Below are 23,488 nucleotides of genomic sequence, written 5' to 3' on the forward strand. Positions count from 1 at the left end.
GACTTCGGGCTGGGATTCCGGTCCTAAGTCTCACTGGCCCCACGGGCTCAGGAAAGTGAGATGAAAAGTCACTCTGGGCTCACTTTGATGTCACAGCAGACAGCTGCCCCCATTGCACCCCAAACTAGGAAGGTGGCTAGACCTAGAATCAGATCAATTATTTATTTATTTATTATTTATTTATTTTTAGCAGCGGGGATGGGCTGTGTGAAGCCATCCTCCCTCCTCCCTCACCACATGGGTCTGCCAACAGCCCAACCGAGAAGGAGTTTCTTGTCGGCAGGGGCTGAGTTCCAACCTGGGCTTCTCAGTCGTGTGCCCATTCTCCCCAGAAACCACCAGGCCTGGGGCCATCACCCGCCATAAAGGATATGGAACAGAAACCTGCCCAGGGTCTATCTTCCTGCCACGCCCGCATCAGCCCATCCAGCCCTGCTCCCCCCATCAGCCCATCCGGCTTCTGGAAGCAGCAGGGGGAGAAGGTGAGAGGCCCCGGTCCCTCCACTGGGGAGGCAGAGCTTCTGGAGCAGCCTCTGGGCAAGGGCCCTGCACGGCCCAGGCCTCCAGGCCCAGTTTCATGCATGAGGACAGCAGTTTGTGACCATGGAGGAACTTGGAGAAAGTGGGAGGGAGAGGAGGTGGGGAGGCAGGCGACAGCTCCATGATCAAGGGGCCAAGAAACAGGCACAGGGGAAATGACTTGGGACTCCTGTGAAGGCTGGAGAAGGGCCCGACGGGCCCAGTCACAGGGAAGGCTCCAGAGGAGAGAGCTGGTCCCCTGCTTGGCCCTACAGCATGCAGAATGTGAGGTAGACTTGAGAACGGACTTCCAGGTTATGAGGAGCCAGAACACTGACCATCTGTCGGGGCGGGGAGGCCAATGAAATGATCTTCCCAGACAAGCAAACTCCAGCCAGCATGTCCTGGGGTAGGGGAAAGACAGGATGACCTCTGGATGCCCTTCCTGCCAGGACTAGGATGTCCTTCCTGTGCTAAGAAGACGGCTGTGTCCTCACTGGGACCACTGCTGTCCAGCACTGAGGATGGCATAGCCTTCCCAGACTGGATGGGAGAGAGTTCAGCAGGCCCAGGCTTCCTACCCCCAGCCCCTGCCAGGCTCTGGGCATCACCCTTGCTTTGGCCCAGGGTGGAGCCAAAGCCCCCTTTGGGAGCAGGCAAGGATCAGCCTCTGCGGCTGTGACCTTGACCACCTTGAGTGGGGAGGTGTTGGGGGAGACAGAGAAGGAGGAGGGGAGGAGAAGAGAGAAAGAGATAATAACAAGGAGAGAGAGAGATGGGGAAGGGGACAGAGAGAGAGGGAGGGGCAGGCCAGCAAGCCACAAGGAAAACAGACATGGCCATGGAGAGAGGACAGCCGGCCGAGCTGCCTGTCCTCAGCCCCTGCAGGAGCCGAGCTGGGGGCTCAGCACGAGTTGGGTGTTGAGTTGCTGGAAAAGCTCATGTCGGGAAACAGCAAGGTAAGGAGCCATCCAGGGAGGAGGAGGTGAGAGACCTGCCATCCTTGGGGCTGGCCCGGTGCCCTCTGGGTCTGCTCTGCGAGGGAGGAAAAACCAGCACAGGTGTGGGAGGAATGTTCTGGAAGGCTTGCAGAGTAGAAGACAGAGACAGAAGACAGAGTAGCATCAGCAGGCTGTGGAGTCAGCAGAGGCCTGGGTTGTGTTCCAGCTCTGGCACATTCTGTGACCTCCCACGAGTCCCTTGGCCTCTCTGAGCCTCAGTTTTCTCATCAGTAAAATGGGAGTGATAAGAGCTTCTATTTCTCAGGGTAGTTGTGAGGACTCTGTGTCCAGAACTGAGCACCAGTGCCACCTTTGCTGGGCAGCCTCCTCCTCATACCCTCACATTGTCAATCTTGTTTCTCTGGGGGTAGGTAGATTTCTAAGGCACCCAAACTGCCACATAGCACCACCACCACCACCGCAAAACTCTGTCCCCTCCACTATGGCCCTCACCACCCCCAGCCCCGCCCCCGCCGAGAGTCACCTCTCAGGCCCCTGCTGGGGAGGAGTCAGGGACTTGCTATTTTGGGGCATCTCCTGTGCTTCAGACTTGATGAGGCCTTCACATTTGTGGCTGCGCCTGAGTTCAAGTCAGACCCTGCCACTGATCCACCAAATGGCGTGGGCAAGGTGCTTTCATCACGGTTTCCTCATCTGTGAAAAGGGAGTCAGAGCTGCTTTGTGGGTCAGGATCCAAGAAGGAAATGTTTTCTGATTTATCCCGAGTGCCGTAACAGTGCCTGGCACACAGTAGGTGCCCAATAAATAATGTACTCATGGATGATGTACCTGAAGCTCCTGGCACATAGTAAACACTCATTAAATGACAGTTTAAAGTGTTTTTATTGGGAAGTTGTTCAAAGACTAAGCCAGGAGACAGTCAGAGCTTAGCGCCCTGGGTAGGCCGCCCTACACTGTCTTACTGGTAGGTTCTCTCTCCTGCTTCAGCCTGGCCTTGGGCCAGGTTCAAAAAGGGCATCCTGGCAGGTGCTCTGTCATCCCCCCGACATCCTGCTTATCTGCTCCTGGCAGCCCTGGGATCCAGTGCCATCTGACCCAGTGTGCCCAGCCTGGCAGTGGCTCTGCTGAGTAAGTGGGGAGGGGCAGAGCTGGCTCTGCCTCTGGCTCCCTGGGTGACCTTGGGTAGGTCCGCATTTTCTCTGCAACTCAGCATCCCCATCCCTAAATTGAAGTGCTTAGACCACAGTGTCCTGGGCTGCCTGATAGGGAATGAGGGGTCAAAATGCCTGGGGGAAGGTGGTCAGCAGAGAGGTCTTAGAAGCCGCCACCTGCCTCCAGCCAGAGTTGCTGCCCAGCCTTCTTCTGATCCATGTACTGGGCTCCCAGGGGAGGTTCGTCTTTTTAATTTTTTTTCCTGTATTTTGAAGACAATTCTGTTAGACTGGAAGTCATAAACTACCTGGTGGCTCTACTTTCCGGGCTCTGAGCCTCTACATTTCTAAATTCTGAGATTCTCAGAATCTGAAATCTTGGGTTTATGAAACTCCAGATTCCCCTGATTCTCAGTTCTGGATTCTAAGGTATGCTGGGGTTCATGCTGCCCTCTGCAAAATGCGGTAGGAAATGCATCCCGGGCACACTCCAGTCTGGACTTTGCCTGGGAGTTTGCAACACTCTCATTGCTCAGGGTCAGCCTCCTGGGTCAGTGCAGACAAGCCAGCAGATCTCCAGGTCCCCCTCATTCCCTTCCAACACAACAACCTCTCTGCTGAGCACACTTCCCTGGACAGCACCTGGCACCCTTGGTTAGCATCTCAAGTTTGAGGGACTGAGCACATTGGCCTGAGGCCAAGGACAGGCCCCAAGAAGGTTTTATGATGTCTCTACTTGTCTCTCTCGCCACAGAGCCCAGAGCCAGCATCCAGCCACCATCATCCTGTGGCCCAGCCACGATGGCTCCCCTTCCCCAGGCCTGCTCCAGGCTCTGCCAGGGTCCTTCTGTGTCCACCTTCACAGGGGCATCGCTGGGCCCTTCTGCCCAGCCTGAGAGGAGGAGCCCTCAGTGAGGAGGGGCCCTGGGGAGGGGACTGGCAGGAAGCCCTCCTTGACCCTAGGCCTGCCAGGCCACCATCTTCTGCTCCCACAGCTCTGGGTCTTCAGGATCCACCTCCTTAGAGCCCAATGTGTCTCCGTCCTAATGCTGAAGGACCGAAGGGACTCAGAGGGAGAAGCTCTCGGGGGCTTACCTTTCTTGGTGAATCCCATGTGCTCCCACCGGTCTCCTGGAGGCACAGACCGTGGGTTTCGGGACTGCTCCCTGCATGCTCCTCCTCCCTCCCTGGGGCTGGAACCTTAGTGGGGACTCTTGGGTTGGGCTCTCTCGAGAGTCCTCCCTCGCTCATCTCCCCCTGTCTGGTTAATGAGCTGGAAGCTTCCATAATGAAGCTGCTTTATCATTTAACCTGCTGCATCAGTGGTAGAGAGGGAGGGGTGGAATGGGGGAGGTGTCTGGGGGAGGTAGGGGTGTCTAGTAGCCCCAGGGTCTACCCACAGAATAGCCCCCAGTGTGGAGGGCTCAGTAAGAGAAAGGAGGGGCTCTCCCGCATGCCCTGTAGCTCTCACTGGGAAAGTCCCCCATGCTTATGAAAGGTAAGGGGCTGGGGAGCTGGTTCATCCCACTTCATATTGGCCCTCCTGGTGATGCCAAGCTCACCCCGCTCAGTCTAGTCTTGGTATTTCCCAAAATGCTCCTACAAAAGCCCCTTTGATCACCCCATGCCCCTGCCTTGCTCCTGCGGCAATGGCTCCTGTCTCTCTTCTCTGGGCCACTGGGCATTTGTACATGCTGTTTCCTCCTCCAACACCTCCACTTCCCCTCCCTGGCCTCCCGTGGCTGCCCTGAACTTCTCCAGTCCTAGCTGTACTCTCTGCACTATAAGCAACAGTTCACTCCTCTGTCCTCCCCATGGGACTGGAAGCCTATTGAAGGTTGGCTGTGTGTCTGGCTCAGCCGCCACTGTTTCCTCAGAGTGCAGGCTGGTGCCTGACACCTTACCCAGCATTTATTGAGCACTATGTACCAGGACTGTGCTCAGTTCTTTACGGACATATATCAATTAACCTTCAAGGTCATCTTCAAGGACATACTGGAGACAGGGTGGAGTTGGGGCTGGAAACACAGACTTGAAGCGCAAGCCAGCTGGATTTGGATCCAGTTCTGCATTTACCAGCTGGGTGACCTTTATGAAGTTACATAAGCTGTCTGTGCCTCAGTTTCCTCATGCAAAATGGAGGTAATGACAGTACCTCCATCATAGAGTTGTTTGAGGATAAAATAGTAAATATATGTCTATATATACACACACATTTAATACAGTGCACACACTAATTGCTTTGTGGTGTCAACTATTGGCATTCCTCCCATTTTGCAGATGAGGAAAGCCTCCTTCTGCCTCCATCCTTTCCTATCCCCTGTGCCATCAGAACTAAATTGATTCAGGGAGCTCAATAAATGCTTGCATGCTTGTTCACTCAGGGTTTCATGCCAACCGAGGGGTGTGTAAGTTCACCATTTATAAGTCAACTGTATTTTTATGTCCTAGCAACAAAAAAAAATTGGCAAGTGAAATAAAAATACTATTTATTATCATAACAAAACCCAAAAATATATACAAAGAGATTCGACTAAAAAAATATACAAGACCTCCCTGTGAAGAGTGCAATAAAAATGGTCAACATATACCCATGGACACTTCACAATAGATTTATCATGGCTAATAAACGTGACAAAATGGACAATATTATTAGTCATCAGTGCAAAATAAAACCATAACAAGATGCAATACTCTCATCAAAATGGCTAAAGTTAATGTGACCTGCCTTACCAAGTGTTGAGAAGGATGTGGAGATGCTGGAACTCCCTCCCCTGCTGGTGGGAATATAGGCAGGTCCAGCCACTTTGGAAAACAACTTGGCAGCCTCTGATAAAGTAAAAGTAAAACAAATACCTGATCTGTGACTTGGTGGGTCCAGCTATTTTCCCTAGAGAAACGAAACAGACACCCACAGAAATTCTATCACAAGAATGGCAGTGTTATTTGTATTAGCCCCAAATGACTCAACATTCCCATGTCTTTCCAGTTTTTCCAGAGACAACTCTTCATTAAATCGCCTGTCCAAGAATCTGCACCTGCACCTCCCTCAGCTGCCACCCGAATCTCTGACCTCAACGAATCCCTATGCCAGGGGAATGCAAGACTGATTGGCCACAGGCCTGGGGCTCTGTACTCCCCTGAGCCTGGGTGGGGAGTGATTCCTCAAGGACAAGGAGAAGGGAGAGGGCTGAGCAGTGGTCCCCAAGGGAAGTGGCACTGGGGGTGGGGCAGAACCATCACGCGTTACCGATGGTGGGGTCAGAATCAGGGGGCCTGAGATATATGCTATTGGGTCCCACCCTATAGCCCTGCCCACGTCCTTCAGCTGTGGAGAGCGTGGGCTGCCAGCTGGGCCCTTTTCTGGGGAATCATCCTCAGCTGAGGAAGCTGACTGCTGACTCACCTGAAAAATGCCTGCGAGGTCTCACCTTTCCCTGGGATGACCTGCAGCCAGTCACTGGCTGACACATGGGTACAAAAGGTCTGGCTCATTCGAGGAGGCAGGACAGTCATGTGGTGCCACAGAGGACACTCCAGAGCTCCCCATGGGCCCAGATCAGGGCTAGACTAGACCAAGTCCATGCCCTGGCCTGGCTTCTTGCCCACCCTCCGCTACTTCCCTCACTCCCCTTCTTCTGAGCGTGCGCCCTCTGCAATCTCACATGTCCCCGTAAGTCCCCATCTCAGGCTCTGCTTCTAGGGAGCCTAACCTATGCAGAAGGCCAAGCTGGCTCTCGCCTGCACACCTGCCCCATGCAAGCTTCCCCTTGGATCTTCTTCCCTGCATGGGGAAATTGGTCCTACCCCACCAGGCTCCAAGGTGTGCAGCCAGCATCATCTTGGAATCCCTCTCAAACCCAGACTCCCACCAAGAACTCAATTCTCCCCACATCTGCTCCAGGTCCTTAGGAAACTCAACATCCAAATCCCTTTCATCTCCAGGTTGATTAACAGAAGATTATAAGCAAGCTTCAGAAGGAAGAAAAACCAGTGTCTCCCCAGGGCAGACACTGTCTGTTGACAAATACCACCAATATATATTTTTCTCATTTTTGTATAGATATACAGAACTAAGCCGATTAATATATTCTTCTTTCCCTCTTAGGTCTAGGACTGCAATGGGAATCTTTCTGCCCCATGGTGAACTGTGTACCAGGTTTCAATAAAGGTTTTATCTTTGCAATTACAGTTCATTAATAAATTTACAAGGGAAGGAAGATGGCGAGGTCTGTCTAAGAGGATTGTTTCGCATTTCTTCTCTTTTAATTACAGTTATCTCCTGAACCAAAGCTCTTTGAAAAACAGAGAGAAAAAAGACACCCTTTCCCCATCTGTTCCAGATATGGGTACAATTAATAAGGGAGGAGACAGGAGCTGCTCCTGGGCTTCCTGCAAACTGAGACCTCACCACCTCCTCTTCAGAGCTGCCCTGTGGGTGGGAGTCTTGGCCACCAGAGCTCAGCTGGCATCAGGTATCTTGTCATGTATCTGCCCTGGGGATTTGGATAAGGACAGGCTTGGTTCTCTATAGAGCTACTGTTTCTAGGGCACCTACTATGTGCTAGAGTCTTTACAGGGGTTTTCTAATCTTAAACTTGTCTAAGTTTTAAACTTCACAGTGATCCATTTTACAGACCTGTTTTACAGACAGAGAGTAGCTAAGGCAGACAGATGGGTGCAGGGCATTGGGCTAGGCATAGGGAGCAGGGAGGGGGCTGAACATTTTACAGATGCCAAATGGAGACTCAGAGATGTCCAGGACTTTCTTAAGGCACTCCAGATTAGGTTGGAATTGCAAGCCAGTCCTGTGACTCCAACTTACCTGCTATTTCCACTTTTTATTTGCTGGTATTTGGTGAACCTTTCTGGGCCTTAGTTTCCCCATCTGTGAAATGAGCCCCAGAGACTGGAAAAGATGAGTGTAAAGGTCTTAGGCTTTGAGGTGGCGTGTCTTGAATGGGATGGGTGCTGGAATGGCAGGTGTGGGGCTGGTATGGGGCAATCTGGCATCGGGGCGTCTGAGTCTCCAGAAATGAGGGCCTCCAGTCTCTCACACTAGCAATCTGCTCAGACCTGGTCAGAGAGAGCTGATTTCATCCCTGCCATTTGAGGAGCGCCAGAAGCTTTGGATCCCTTTAACCTCCTCCTCCCAAAAGCTTCTGAGGCGAGCAGTGACCTTGCTCACAGGGCAAATCCTATGAAAGAAGACTGTCTTTTCAGAGATTATACACCTTCTCCAACCCAGCCACCTCCAGGCTGGAATGCAGTGGCAAGATCTCGGCTCACTGCAACCTCCATCTCCTGGGTTTAAGCGATTCTCGTGCCTCAGCCTCCCGAGTAGCTGGGATTACAGACCCATGCCACAACACCTGGCTAATTTTTTGTATTTTAGTAGAGACGGGGTTTCACCATGTTGCCCAGGCTGGTCTTGAACTCCTGAGCTCAGGCAATCCGCCTGCCTTGGCCTTCCAAAGTGCTGGGATTACAGGCGTGATTACAGCCTCCTGGATCTCTTACTCTAAGGGATCTGTGTGAGTGTCCCTAAGTGGGCTCCTCTTTGGTCTCCTAGCTTTAACTGTCTAGAGGCTTTGCCTGGTCAGGGGGTGGCAGCCAAGACCTGACTATTATGAGGGGTGGTGATGGGGCACTAGTAATGGTGATCAAGAGAGTCCTAGCCAGTTCTTTTTTTTTTTTTTTTTCTTTTTTTGAGATGGAGTTTTGCTCTGTCGCCCAGGCTGGAGTGCAGTGGCGTGATCCTGGCTCACTACAACCTCCGCCTTCTGGGTTCAAGCGATTCTCCTGCCTCAGCCTCCTGAGTAGCTGGGATTACAGGCACGTGCCACCACGCCCAGCTAATTTTTGCATTTTTAGTAGGAGCAGTGTTTCACCATGTTGCTCAGGCCGGTCTTGAACTCTTGACCTTAAGTGATCCACCCGCCTCGGCCTCCCAAAGTGCTGGGATTACAGGCGTGAGCCACTGCGCCTGGCCGCCAGTTCTTAATTTATTGCGGTTGTCAAACTTTTTCTGTAAAGTACAAAGTGATAAATATTTTAGGGCAAGTGGGCCAAGAGACAAATCAAGGATATAATATAGGTATGGTATAATAGTTCCCCCTTATCCATGGGGGCTACATTCCAAGACCCCCAGTGAATGCGTCAAACAGTGGATAGTACAGAGCCCTATATACACTATGTTTTTTCCTATACATACCTACCTATGTTCAAGTTTAATTTTAAACTTAGATACAATAAGAGATTAACAACAATAAGATAGGACAATTATAATAATACACTGTAGTAAACGTTATGTGAATGTGGTCTCCCTCCCTGTCAAATTGTCTTCTTGTACTGCACTGTAGGCACCTGGAGCCTTGGAAAATGAAACTGCAGATAAGGGAGGACTACCGTATTCATGTAACCAGAGAGAAAACAAATTTCCACAATTGTAAGTGATACAATTAAAGATGTATCAATGAACACTGAAGTTTAAATGTCATATAACGTTAACATGTCTTGAAAGATTATTTTTCTCGTTTTTTAAATTATTTAAAGATGTAAAGAATCAGTCTTAGCTTATAGGCCATGAAAAACAAACATCAGGCCAGGTCTGAATGGTGGCCGTAGTTTGCAGAGCCCTGGTTTCTTCTTGCCTCTCAGCTTCCAACTTCCCCGTGAGTGCCTGCTCCTTGATGGACTGGACTCTAAGCCCTTCTTTGCAGCAAGCACGATATCAAGCTTTGTCAGTAGAGGGCGCCGGAGGGACACTGTGGAGGAAGGGGCCTTTTCATGGTCCACAGAGCTCTGTTGTGCAATTTCTTGTTCCTGTTGCATCTTCTCTTAGGGTATGAACGCGGGGGGACATCCTCTGGGGCTTTTCCTCAGCTGTGCACCCAGAATGCATGGTCCCTCGACCACCTCATAGCCCATCCTGAGCCCAGTGCCCATCTTGCTGTGGTCCAGCCCACACCTCCACCTGCACGTGCACACCACTCTCTCTCCTGTGCCCAGAGAGGTGTTTCCTGCCTGCCAGCCTGACCTGCATCTATGAACCAGCACCTCTGGGACCCAATACCTTCTCTGCCATTCAAGGGGCTGCAGCCACAGACATCCAGCGAAGTCAGGACCCCAGCCTCGGGGGCAGGTCCTTCCAAGGTTGTCTTCTTCAGCCCTAGGGTGCTGTTCCGATTCTTCCTGACATCATTTTAGGCACTCTTCTATCATAGTTTAATAATTATGTATAGAAAATGTCTCCTATTCAGATCACTGTGTGGTTTCTGTGTCTTTATTGAAATCTGATGGACTGATCCCCAGGAAGACCCCTCAGGCACCCTGGAGAGAATGGAAGCTCCCTAATCCAAAGAGTGAGTGTGAGTCCATCTCAGTCACCGTGTGTCTGCTGCATGGCTGAGGCCACGTGACTGCACCTCCCTGGGCTCAGTTTGCTCACCCAGGAAATGCGGAGAAAGCTTCCTTCTCCAATGGATGCTGAGACTGCGAAATGAGACCATGCATATGAAGCACAGAGCATGGGGCCAGGTACCTGCCGGTGTTCAAGATGGTAGAACTGCACCTTCGTAAGTGTGGTGGGCATCACATGGGACAGTGTGTGGAGTGACCGGCATGGGGCCTGGGGGGAAGTGGAGGCTCAAAACCCAACCTCCCTCCCTCTCTCCCTCCTGTCCTCCTTCTCTCCCAGGACACCCCTCCCTCAGGCCCCCAAGGCTCTAGTTTCTCTCCCCAAGTCCCCCTGTGTGGTGGTTAATACTGAGTGTCAACTTGATTGGATCGAAGATGCAAAGTATTGATCCTGGGTGTGTCTGTGAGGGTGTTGCCAAAGGAGATTAACATTTGAGTCAGTGGGCTGCAGAAGGCAGACCCACCCTTAATCTGGTGGGCACCATCTAATCAGCTGCCAGCGAATATACAGCAGGAAGAAAAACGTGAAAAGGTGAGACTGGCCTAGGTTCCCAGCCTACGTCTTTCTCCCGTGCTAGATGCTTCCTGCCCTCGAACATCAGACTCCAAGTTCTTCAGTTTTGAGACTTAGACAGGTTCTCCTTGCTCCTCAAGCTTGCAGACGGCCTATTGTGGGACCTTGTGATCATGTAAGTTAATTTTTATATATATATATATATGTATATATATAAAATATATATATGTATATATATAAAATATATATATACATATGTGTATATATATAAAATATATATATACATATGTGTATATATATATCTCCGATTAGTTCTGTCCCTCTAGAGAACCCTGACTAATACAGATTTTGGTACCAGGAGTGGTTCTAGAGGAACAGAATATTAAGGATGGAGTTTTTCATTGGCTTTGGGGTTTCTGGAGTTGGCTACTTAAGATGATTAGACTCAAAAATGCTAAGGACTCTACTTCTAATAGTATGGAGAACACTGATAGTCCTTGGGAGGAACTGTTTAGAGAGTTACACAAAATAAATCCATCTGACACTCCTGATTCACTGCTCGTGAGAGGCAAGGAGTTTAGTGACTCTATACATAATACTTTTGACCATATTTGGAGAACCAAGGAACATAATGAAGCTGGTTGGTTGCCCCTAAGTTCAGTAGATGAAGTGAGGAAAGAAAATGATGAACTCAGGGATTCCGTTCTCCAGGCTTCAGAGGCAGACACTGAGCCTCAAATCTGCTAAGATTGCCCTGAGTGAGAGTCTCATCTCCTGCAGAGAAAGAGCTGAAATTGTGGAGAAACAGACACAAACTCTTATCATGAGAGTGGCTGACCTGCATGAAAGGTGCATGCACAGCCTCAGGAGGTGTCTACTGCTAAAGAGAAGGCACTGATTGGAAGAGAATGGGACTCTGCAGCTTGGAATGGGGATGTGGGAGGACTCTGAAGAAGCTGGGGACACTGAGTTTGCACACTCTGATGAACCTTTTTTTGCCAGAAGGAACAGCTTCCCCATCCCCAGTAGTGGCAACATCCCCTCCCCGACCCATGCTGCCATCAGCCTTTCCACCTTTGTCTGAGGAGATAAATGCTGTGCTGCCTGAGGCAACAGTGATGGCCTCCCCTGAGGCAGTTGCCAGGCAAAATAATGTTGATTCTCCTCAGGATCGACCTCCAATGCCCCCGTTTGCTTCTAGACCTATAACTAGACTAAAGTCTCTGTGGGCCCCTGGAGGTGAGTTTGAGAGTGTGACCCATGAGGAGGTGCATCACATTAAAAAAGAACTGCTTGAGTCCTCCATATAAAGAGAAATCTGGAGAACAGGCATGGGAATGAATATTAAGGGTATGGGATAATGGTGAAAGGAACATAGAGTTGGATCAGGCTGAATTTATTGATTTGGGCCCACTAAGTGGGGACTCTGCTTTTAATGTTGCAGCTCAGGGAGTTAAAAAGGTTCCAATAGTTTATTTGTTTGGTTAGCTGAAATATGGATTAAAAGATGGCCCACTGTGAGCAAGTTGGAAATGCCTGATCTCCCTTGGTTTGATGTAGAGGAAGGTATCCAAAGGCTTAGGGAGAGTGGGATGGTGGAGTGGATTAGTCACTTTAGACCTACTCATCCCAGCTGGGAGGGTTGAGAAGATATATTCTTGACCAATGCCTTGTGAAACAGATTTGTGAGGGCAGCACTTGCATCTTTAAAGAGCCCTGTAATTGCTGTTCTCTGTATGTCAGATCTAACAGTGGGAACCACAGTCACTCAACTACAAAATTTAAATACAATGGGAATAATTGGATCCCCAGGTAGCAGGGGCCAAGTGGTGGCACTCAGGTATGGTAGCTATGTCAAAGGCAAGGTGGACATAGCTACCATAATGGACAGCAGAGACAAAGCAGCAATCAGAATAGTCTGACTCATGTAGAACTCTGGCACTGGCTAATTAGTCGTGATGTTCCTAGAAGTGAAATTGATACGAAGCCTACTGCATTCCTACTTAATTTTTATAAGGAGAAAACTTCTAGGTCGAACGGACAAAAGACTAATTTTAATTATAAAAACAGAGAATCATGTTCCCTCGATCAATTTCCAGACTTGAGCCAGTTTATGGACCCAAAACCTCTTGAATGAGGGAAGGCCAGGTCCCCTTGAGGAAGGACCCCACTACATTACCAACAATTTATGCAGTGAGTCTTTCCCCCATTGTTCCCCAAGGTGACCTCCAGCCTTTTACCAGGGTAACTGTGCATTGGGCAAAGGGAAATGATCAGACATTTCAGGGACTACTGGACACTGGCTCTGAGCTGACATTGATTCCAGGGGACCCAAAACATCATTGCAGTCCTCCAGTTAGAGTAGGGGCTTATGGAGGTCAGCTAGTTAATGGAGTTTTAGCTCAGGTCCGACTTAGAGTGGGTCCAGTGGGTCCCCTGACTCATCTTGCAGTCATTTCCCCAGTGTCAGAATGCATAATTGGCATAGACATACTTAGCAGCTGGCAGAACCCCCACATTGGCTCCCTGACTGGTAGGGTGAGGGCTATTATGGTGGGAAAGGCCAAATGGAAGCCATTCGAACTGCCTCTACCTAGAAAAATAGTAAATCAAAAACAATATCGCATCCCTGGAGGGAATGTGGATATGAGTGCCACCATCAAAGACTTGAAAGACGCGGGGGTGGTAATTCCCACCACATCCCCATTCAACTCTCCCATTTGGCCTGTGCAGAAGACAGATGGATCTTGGAGAAAAACAGTGGATTATTATAAGCTTAACCAAGTGGTGACTCCAATTGCAGCTGCTGTACTAGATGTGGATTCATTGCTTGAGCAAATTAACACAACTCCTGGTCCCTGTTATGCAACCATTGACTTGGTAAATGCCTTTTTCTCCATTCCTGTCCATAAGGCCCACCAGAAGCAATTTGCCTTCAGCTGGTAAGGCCAGCAATATACCTTTACTGTCCTACCTCAGGGGTATATCAACTCTCCAGCTTTGTGTCATAATCTTATTTGGAGAGACCTTGATTGCTTTTTTCTTCCAGAAGATATCACACTGGTCCATTACATTGATGACATTATGCTGATTATACCAGTGAGCAAGAAGTAGCAAACACACGGTACTTACTGGTGAGACATTTGCGTGCCAGAGGATGGGAAATAAATTCAACTAAAATTCAGGGACCTTCTACCTCAATACAATTTCTAGAGGTCCAGTGGTGTGGGGCCTGTTGAAACATTCCTTCTAAGATGAAGGATAGGTTGCTGCATTTGGCCCCTCCTACAACCAAGAAAGAGGCACAATGCCTAGTGGGCCTATTTGGATTATGGCAGCAACGCATTCATCATTTGGGTGTGTTACTCCAGCCCATTTATCTAGTGACCCAAAAGGCTGCCAGTTTTGAGTGGGGTCCAGAACAGGAGAAGGCTCTGCAACAGTTCCAGGCTGCAGTGCAAGCTGCTCTGCCATTTGGGCCATATGACCCAGCAGATCCAATGGTGCTTGAGGTGTCAGTGGCAGATAGGGTTGCTGTTTGGTGCCTTTGGCAGGCCCCTGTAGGTGAATCACACAGAGGCTTCTGGGATTGTGGAGCAAGGCCCTGCCATCTTCTGCAGATAACTACTCTCCTCTTGAGAGACAGCTCTTGGCCTATTACTGGGCTTTGGTAGAAACTGAATGTTTGACTATGGGTCATCAAGTCACCATGTGACCTGAACTGCCTATCATGAACTGGGTGCTTTCTTAACCATCAAGCAATAACGTGGGTCATACAGAGCTGTATTCCATCATCAAATGGAAGTGGTATATAAGTGATCGGGCTCGAGCAGATCCTGAAGGCACAAGTACGTTACATGAGGAAGTGGCTCAAATGCCCATGATCTCGACTTCTGCCACCCTGCCTCCTCTTCCCCAGCCTGCACCAATGGCCTCATGGGGAGTTCCCTATGATCAGTTGACAGAGGAAGAGAAGACTAGGGCCTGGTTCACAGATGGTTCTGCAGGATACTCAGGCACCACCTGAAAGTGGACAGCTGCATCACTACAGCCCCTTTCTAGGACATCCCCGAAGTACAATGGTGAAGGGACATCTTCCCAGTGGGCAGAACTTTGGTAAGTGCACCTGGCTGTGAACTTTGCAAGGAAGGAAAAATGGCCAGATGTGTGATTATATACTGATTCATGGGCTGTAGCCAATTGTTTGGCTGGATGGTCAGGGACTTGGAAGAAGCATGGTTAGAAAATTGGTGACAAAGACATTTGGGGAAGAGATATGTGGATGGGCCTCTCTGAGTGGTCAAAAACTGTGAAGATATTTGTATCCCATGTGACTGCTCACCAATGGGTAACCTCAGCAGAGGAGGATTTTAATAATCAAGTGGATAGGATGACCCCTTCTGGGGACACCACTCAGCCTCTTTCCCAAGCCATCCCTGTCATCACCCAATGGGCCCATGAACGAAGTGACCACGGTGGCAGGGATAGAAGTTACTAATGAGCTCAGCAACATGGACTTCCACTCGCCAAGGCTGGCCTGGCTATGGCCACTGGTGAGTGCTCAATTTGCCAGCAGCAGAGACCAACGCTGAGCCCTTGATATGGCACCACTCCTGGCAGTGATCAGCCAGCTACCTGGTGGCAGGTTGATTATATTGGACCTCTTGCATCACGGAAAGGACAGAGGTTTGTCCTCATTGGAATAGACACTTACTCCAGATATGGGTTTGCCTCTCCTGCACACAATGCTTCTGCCAAGACTACCATCCATGTACTCACAGACTACCTTATCCACCGTCATGGCATTCCAAACAGCATAGTAGTAGAAGAAGGTAGTCATCGATACCAGCTATGACCACGTGATCAGCTGCAGAAATGAAGACTGTAACCGTCATGGGTATTTCCTCCTTCTTTGGTTAAAAACATGTCTGTGCATGTATACACTCGTACTAAGAAAATATATTCATTTTATTTCCTTTTCCTTTATCACGTGACATAAAATTTATTGACTTCATATCAGCATTAAAGTATTGTTAACTTTATGAATAGTATTTGAGTTGGGGAATTGGTGGGTTTCTGGTTGTACAAAGGATAAGTTGTATTATTTTAGGCGTAATTTTGACCTTATTATTATCTTTATTTGAAGATTATGTATGATCTCAGGAGATGTGTACGGATTCAGGTTGACAAGGGTGGACTTATCATGGTTAATACAGAGTGTTAACTTGATTGGATTGAAGGATGGAAAATATTGATCCTGGGTGTGTCTGTGAGGGTGTTGCCAAAGGAGATTAACATATGGGGCAGTGGGCTGGGGAAGGCAACCCACTCTTAATCTGGTGGGCACCATCTAATCAGCTGCCAGCGAATATAAAACAGGCAGAAAAACATGAAAAGGCAAGACTGGCCTAGCCTCCCAGCCTACATCTTTCTCCTGTGCTGGATGCTTTCTGACCTTGAACATTGGACTCCAAGTTCTTTGGTTTTGAGACTCAGACTGGCTCTCCTTGCTCCTCAAGCTTGCAGACAGCTTATCGTGGGACCCTGTGGTCACGTTAATACTTAATAAACTCCCCTTTATACATATATATATATATATTCTGTCTCTCCAGAGAACTCCCCTCTAGAGAGGACTTCTGTCCCTCTAAAGAACCCTGACTAATACATCCTGGGACCCTGCAGGCTCTGGGGTCTGAGATGTCCCCTCAGCCGTGCTGGGAGCTGCCTGTGTCACCACATCTGTGCGGTTACTAAGGCAGCCACCTCAGCTCAGGGCAGGGAAGTGGAAAACAGGCCAGAGCTTGATGAGGCTGCACATTCTTATCTGTCCCCTGAGCCCCTGGCCCCACAACACGTCTCCCAATACTGAGGCCATGGGCTGCTCTCTGGGCCTTGAGCTGAAGGCCTGTCCCGCCTTGGCCCAGGGTGGGTGAGGGGCTTCCCTCCTTTCAAGTCTGGCCAGAGACAACAGGGGAGGTGACTTGGAGAGAGGTCTGGCTGGCCAGGACCTGGGGCTGCAGGATTGGTGGGTGCCCTTGGTTTGACCCTGAGAGACTCCCTTCTCCTTCCACACCCAGACCTCTGTACCCGGGGCTGTGGAGGAGTTCACCTGCCAGTCACCCCCGTTCCTCTCCTCCAGGCTGGGAAGCAACAGCCCAGGACTTGCCTCCACTCTCCTGGCAGGCTTGCTGGGCTGGGTGGGTGAGTGGCACTGAGCGTGTTACAGGCGGCCGCTGGGCGGTGGAGGAAGGTGTGCCTATAGTCCAGGGGTGAGCACCTGGGACCCCCAGCTGCCTTTTCTCATCTGGCCAAGTGAGTCCCTGGTGGCTGTGATTCGGCTGTCTCTGGGCCCAGCTGTGGCCTGGAAGGTCTGTTTGTGGCTCAGGCCTCAGGTGTCCCTTCCTCAATCCTCCTACAGTGAGTCATGCTATTGCTGGCTCAGTCTCACCTGTTTTCTGAAGGTGTCACTCGATGCCTGGATCTGGCAGTGAGCCTAGCACTCTGAGAAGGTTCCTGGGCTCCCACCAGCCTGCCAAGATCCCACCTTGGGCTCATGGTAGCTTCCTTTCAAGTGGCAGGTCAGGAAGAATGAGGCTTTTCATTCCTTCAAACTCTGGTTCCAGTCCTGGATCTGAAACTCTCACATGGCTCCCCTTCCTCACTGGTCAAGTGGGGATTATAACTTCCTGGTCACAGTGCTGGTGCAAAGACCCACTGGGTGTAATGCCTGTGGGGGTTTGGAATGTGGCAGAGTTGGGGGAACCCTTCTCTCCAGGGTGGGGTGGGCAGGAAGTCCTGCCTCCACTTCGTGCTGTGTGACCTTGGGTTCATGGTCAACCTCTCTGAGCCTTTGTTTCCTCATCTGTAAATGGAGATGTTGTGATGATGAAATAAGAGCAAAGACAAGTCTTTGCTCAAACTTTGTTTCCTCAGTGAGGCTTCCCTGACCGTCGTATTTAATTCTGAGCCCACCACACGTCCCACTGTCCTGCCTCCAGCATTGTGTTTAATTTATTTATACATTATGTTTATAGTTTATTGTCTGTCTGCCCCACTGGAATGTCAGGTCCATGAGGACAGTGATGCAAGTGGCTAATAAACGAGATAATTTCCTCCTCCCTTCCCTCCTTCCCTCTTTCTTCCTTACAAATACACAGTATACCAGGACCAATGCCAGACCTCTAGCATTTCAGCAGTGAAGAAGGCAGACAAGGTCCCGGCCCTCAAACAGCCCTCATCCAGCAGTCAAGACACATATTAAACAGGCAGAGGGGAGGAGCAGCAGGCCTTTGGGTCCAGTAGTGCCAGGGCCTGCCAGGCGCCTGAGCCTCAGACTGAAAAAGGCTGGAAGTATCTGAGCCGAGAGCCTGGGTCTGCACAGCCGTGGAAGCCTCTCCCCGACCTTCCCCCAGGGTGATGGTCAGAGCCCTCCCTGCCAGCTCACGGGGGCTCAGGCCTGGCCAGCTCAGGGACTGTTTCAGGGGAGGCCGCTGAGGAGTGAAGATGGGAGTGGCTTGTGTCCTTCCCATGGCCAAGTCTACGGGGCTCTGGGCTCTGGTTTCCTCTCTGTGGCAGGTGACCCTAGGACCCCAACCTTCCTGCTCTGGAGCTGCTGAAGTTAGGGTGGGCAGAGAGGGGGCTGCCCTGGGATATCCTGAGGGACCCAGTGCAGATCTGGCCCTTCCCAGAATTCCAACCCCTCCCTGATTATTCTCCCATTTCTTTCCTTCCCCGGGAATCAAATTCCTTTCCAGAGAAACCTGAACTGACCCTGGCAGGACAGTTGCTGCTTAGAGCCCACTGAGAATACAGCCAATTAAATGGGGAAATATGGAAGAAGACCTCCACGGCGGGGCAGGGCGAGTCCATCAGAAAAATAAACAGACATGAAACGACAGCGGGCTCCTGGCTTCTGGTTCTTCTGTTGCTTTTTATCTGAGCAAGACGAACCGGAAATCCCAATGGCTCCACGCTGCACTTGTCATCTCCCTTGTAATTAATACCCCTGGGTAAAAATCTGTTCAGCCGGGAGTACACCTGCTGAGGGGCTAGCCCCACGGGCTTTGTCACCTGGGACCATTTAGCCCACTCAGCTGTGGGGAGCGGGTGCAGGGGACCCTAGGGACGGATTAATTTCTGTTATTATAACAGACAACACTGTGGAGGAGCCCCCAGCAGGCTGCAGCAGGGATGCATCCACACTGGCCAGCCCTGGGCCTGGGGGGATGGCAGGTCCGGAGAAGAGAGAAGCCAGGAGGTTTCCCGTTCCTGTTTCTCCAGTCTGGGAGGCAGTGGTGTCCCCTGGAAATTATAGGTAGTGGAATCCTAAAAGCAGTTTACAGATGATGTCAAGTACCAATGCCTTCCTGGGAAGGATCTAACTCTGCTGGCAGGTTAACCAGGCTCAGGAGGAAGTGGAGAAGGAGTGGGGGCTTCTGGAACCGTTGGTCCCCCCTAAGACCCTGGATCCTTGAAGGGAGAGACTAGGGTGAGCCAGGTGATGACAGGGGATGGCGGAGCACAGAATCAGCAACCAGGACGCCATATTCTAATGCTAAGAGGAGCTTGGTGATGATAAGCCCGACGCCCTCCTTTTGCAGATGCTGAAATGTGAGAGGGGAGGGTCTTGGGTGGAGGATTTGCAGATCTCACGGTCCCTTCCATGGCATCTGTGACGCACAGAATCTTGGAATTAGAGCTTCTTTCATAGACTCAAAGATACCTTAATGGAGTGTTTGAATCACAGATTCGGAGAGTCTTATCCCTTTTACAAAATCCCAGAATGACAGGATCACAGATGCATTCATAGAATCACAGACCCAAAGAATCTTGGGATTAAGAAATCGCTAGGAAAGACTTGCAACCACATTCACAGCAGGCTTGGCCCTGAGAAATACAGAATGATCCAGGACACGTGGAGTTGAAATAGACATGGTGGAATCAGCATCTCAGCACAGGACGTGACCTTGGTCCAACTCCCCTGGAAATGCAGGAAGCCCTCTCTTCACCGTCCTGAGTAATGATTTGAACTCTGGTAGGGATGGTGTGGTCACTACCTGACAGGGCCATCTATCCCATTCTTGGGCAGATCAGGCTGCTAGGGCTGAGCCTGAATTTACTCCCACGTGACCCACCCACAGCTCTGTCCTGGCTCCTCCAGGAACTGAACATGTAAAGTGATCTGGACACACATACAGAGGCTTAACCCAGCTAAGGACAGCTTGATCCTTGGCCAAAGGGGTCTGTCTCCCTCTAGGGAAGGGTCAGGCACCAGGACGAAGGAACGGATGGAGCTGCTCGGCTCACCTCAACCCATTTCAGTTCACCCACATGAGCAGGAGGTGTCCAGTCTGCTCCTGGAGGAGGGGCCAGTCAGGGACAGGGGCAGACAGGCAGGAATGCCCACTGGGAAGGAGGCTCAGAGGGGCTCTGGGAGAAAGAATGATTCCCCTTGGGTCCCCAGAGACAGGGAAAATCCAATCATGGCCTCAACTGCAAGGAACACGGCACACACACATGCACAGACACATACACACAGATACACACAGACACACACACATAGACACAGACACATACATACAAACATACACACATACACACACAGACATACACACATACACACACAGATGCACAGACACAGAGACACACAGACAAAGGCACCCCATATGCCTCCAAGATAATACAAAGCTATGGGCGCAGCGTCTGGTGCCCCCCTGTGTCCAGCTCTTCTACCCCTCTGGTCTTGTTTCTTGCTGTTTTCTCAAATGCTGCATAGGACTGCCCTTCACTCCTGTTTGGGTTGGACAGGGTCATCTTAACTAATGGCAGTTAGTTAAGGACAAGTGAGTTGGGAAAAACCCAGGAAAAGTCTTGCAAATCCAATACATCTGAACTGTGTGTCACCTCCCCTCCCTCTCTGGAGGCCCAGAGCATCCTGTTGTCCTGGTAGAGGGGTCCAGGCTGGCTCCTGCCCCTGTCCAGGTTCCTCTCAATCCCGCCTCAAGGCTCACCCTCTCACCTCTCAGGTTGGTGTCCCCTCCTTTCCTCTGAATTCTTGCTATTCCTGCTGGCATATCTGCTAATCCCTGGCTGGCCTCCCTGCGTCTCCCATGCCGAAGCTTCTTCAAAAGAACTCCGCACCCGCATATCTGGGAATAATTTCTGTTTTCCAGTGAGCAGGGAAGTGTTAATTACTACCAGCACCTTCCTTGTCTCTTTTGAAACCTCCGTCTCAGAGCTGTGTGATAAAGGAACTAAATCCTAATTAATAACAGACAGCACCATTCTGAAATTGTGTTTTCCTGTTCTCAGAGATTATAATCAGCAAGGGAGGATGAGAGAGAGAGGTGGGAGGTTGGGGAGAAAACAAGAAAAGAAAGAAAACAGTTCTTCAGCTGGGGGAGGAATCACAGGGCTTTGAGAACACATAGGCAGGCCTCTGGTGGTCCCTGGGAGGTGGGGGGAAGCAGGTGACCATGGGCAAGACCAATAAAACCTGCAGAATTGGATTTTTGTTTCTAGATTACTGATATCTGGACACATTCCACTCTCCATGTTATGGTGGAAAGTTGATTTGTTCAAATAAAATAAAATGTGCTGCTGAGCATTCCGTGTCCTGGGTACAAATCTGGAAAGGAGGAAAGTGGTGGTTTCCGAGTACAAACAGCACTCACCCAGCTGCTGCTGTGCCCACTGTAGGCAGGCCACTGCGGGTAGGATGCGACTGCCAATGTCGCAGAAGCAAGTCCTTGATAATCACAGTGGGACAGGTTTTCTGAGCTGTAGACTGACTCTGTGTCTGGCAGCCTGATGGGGCAGGCACTGGCATGGGGACAGCAGGGGGCTGGCATGGCGGGGACACTGGAGGAAGGGCACTCCTGGCTTGGTGGCCATGGCCTCTGAATGTCTGCAGGCTTCTCAGGCCCTAGGGTAGAAATGCAGGAGGTAACAGGGAGACCTGGATTTCGCCAGCTCTGAGGCCCTCCTGCCTTAGAGGGAATCTGGTCTCTTGCAAGCTCCCTGAGAGCCACTGGGTGTCTCAGGTGGGCTCAACAGCCAACGGGTCACCTACGATCAGAGTGGGGAGGCAGCTCTGTTCTCCCTCCTGCTGCCACTGACCTGCACTTGGGAAGCCACAAGAAGGACTTCAAGGGCCTCAGTCGGGACGAAAGTGCCTAAGAGCCTGGGTCCTCATGACCTTTGAGCTGCCCGTCGTCAAGCTTCCTGAGTGGGACATGGTTCTATGCAGAAGCTGGGAGAATGCCTGCTCTCAGTTCAGCGATACGCTTTCTTCTGGGTCCTGAGCACCTAGCAAGTACCAGTCCCTAGCAGCAGTGTGGTCAAAGAGCTAAACAAACAGGGTTTCTGCTCAGACACCTAGAATCTAGGGAGTGACAGGAGCACACGCTCAATTGCTCCTCCAAAGCCCAACTGTGTAGGGGTAGGAATAACTGTGTCCCTGAGCATGCTATTGGTTCCATATACCTGCACAGGTATGTGCTGCCTCCTGCCAACACATTCCACTGTGTGGACAGGCTGGACAGACACACATAAGAACAGGGGCTGCTACAAGGTTGAGAGAGCCCATATGGGGAGGCGGTAATAGGGAATGGTGAAGGGTGCAGGCCTCGGGGCCAGGCCCCCCTGGGTTCATTTTCTGACTCCACCAAATGCTGAACGTGCCACCCTGTGTAAGTTATAGAACCTGTCTGAGCCTCAGTTTTCTCATTATCATTTCTTTTTGACAGACGGAGAAACTGAGGGGCAGAGAGATTAAGTGACTTGCTGGAAGGCATGGCAGTGTGAAGTGTCAGAGCCAGTCAGTCTGCTTTTAGAGTCCAGGCCCTCAAAGGCCATAGCATCTTGGGTGAGACTGACAATTTGCATTTCTTTTTTTTTAAAGTTTTATTGTTTTAGAGACAGAATCTCACTCTGTCGCCCAGGCTGGAGTACAGTGGCATAATCATAGCTCACTGTAGCCTTGACCTTCTGGGCTCAAGAAATCCTTCCACATCAGCCTCCTGAGTAGCTGGGATCACAGACATGCGTTGCCATTTCCGGCTAATTAAAAAAAATTTTTTTGAGATGGAGTCTTGCTATGTTGCCCAGGCTGGTCTTGAGCTTCTGGCTTCAAGCAATCCTCCAGCCTTGGCTTCCCACTTCTCTCCTGGAACCCCACTTTAAAAACCACTGGTCTACAGAATAAAGGTGGTGTGGAGAAGGGCTGGGGAGGAACATTTATGGAGCACCCACCATGTGATGGGTCCTGCCTTGTTACAAGGGCCACACTGAGTTCATCTCGGTTTGCATCTCTGTACAATGTGAAATGGGTTTGCTGTGAGGCTCCAGTAAGTCAACACACCATGTGAAGTGCTAAGCACAGGGCTGTGTGCAGTAAGTGCCCAGTGGAGTGTTAGCTGGTGCTGTCACTCTGCCTGTAGGCGGTACTGAAGCTGCATTATCCTGGTTAATCCCCTCATGAGCTCTGAGGACTAAGCTCAGACAGAAGATATTTAATGGAAAAAAAGATGAATGAGCCTGGCTTGAGATACTCAGGGGCCCTTCTGGGGCAGTGTGGCCTTGGACTGGACCTGGAGATTTGAGGAGGGGTGGGTGAGAGGGCAGGGTGGGGATCTCCTGACATAGGCAATGTTTTTGGCCTTGCAAAGTGACAAAAATAGCCTTTCCATTAGATTAATGCTCAGGAGGTGTCCTGGCAGGGTGTGGGTGTGACTGAGGCAGCAGGAGAAGGCCTAGGCCCTAAGCAGGGGGCAGGAGACTGAGGGCAGGAGCCGCTCTCCTGCTGACCTGCTGTGTGACTTGGGGCAGGTTCCTAACTGTCTTTGGTTTCATAGCATGTGATACGGTTTGGCTGTGTCCCCATCCAAATCTCACCTTGAACTGTAGCTCCCATAATTCCCATG

General features: G+C 50.5%; 2 annotated features.

Moving 5' to 3' along the window:
• Positions 773-1,274: an enhancer, noted in NCBI's record as "H3K4me1 hESC enhancer chr1:30257435-30257936 (GRCh37/hg19 assembly coordinates)". NCBI's record gives its function as "activates a minimal SCP1, AML or CMV promoter by ChIP-STARR-seq in primed H9 embryonic stem cells {active_cell/tissue: H9 hESC(primed)}" and the evidence as "EXISTENCE:reporter gene assay evidence [ECO:0000049][PMID:30033119]".
• Positions 16,139-16,640: an enhancer, noted in NCBI's record as "H3K4me1 hESC enhancer chr1:30272801-30273302 (GRCh37/hg19 assembly coordinates)". NCBI's record gives its function as "activates a minimal SCP1, AML or CMV promoter by ChIP-STARR-seq in primed H9 embryonic stem cells {active_cell/tissue: H9 hESC(primed)}" and the evidence as "EXISTENCE:reporter gene assay evidence [ECO:0000049][PMID:30033119]".

Source organism: Homo sapiens, chromosome 1 (genome assembly GCF_000001405.40).
Source record: "Homo sapiens chromosome 1, GRCh38.p14 Primary Assembly".
Classification (NCBI taxonomy): Eukaryota; Metazoa; Chordata; class Mammalia; order Primates; family Hominidae; genus Homo; species Homo sapiens.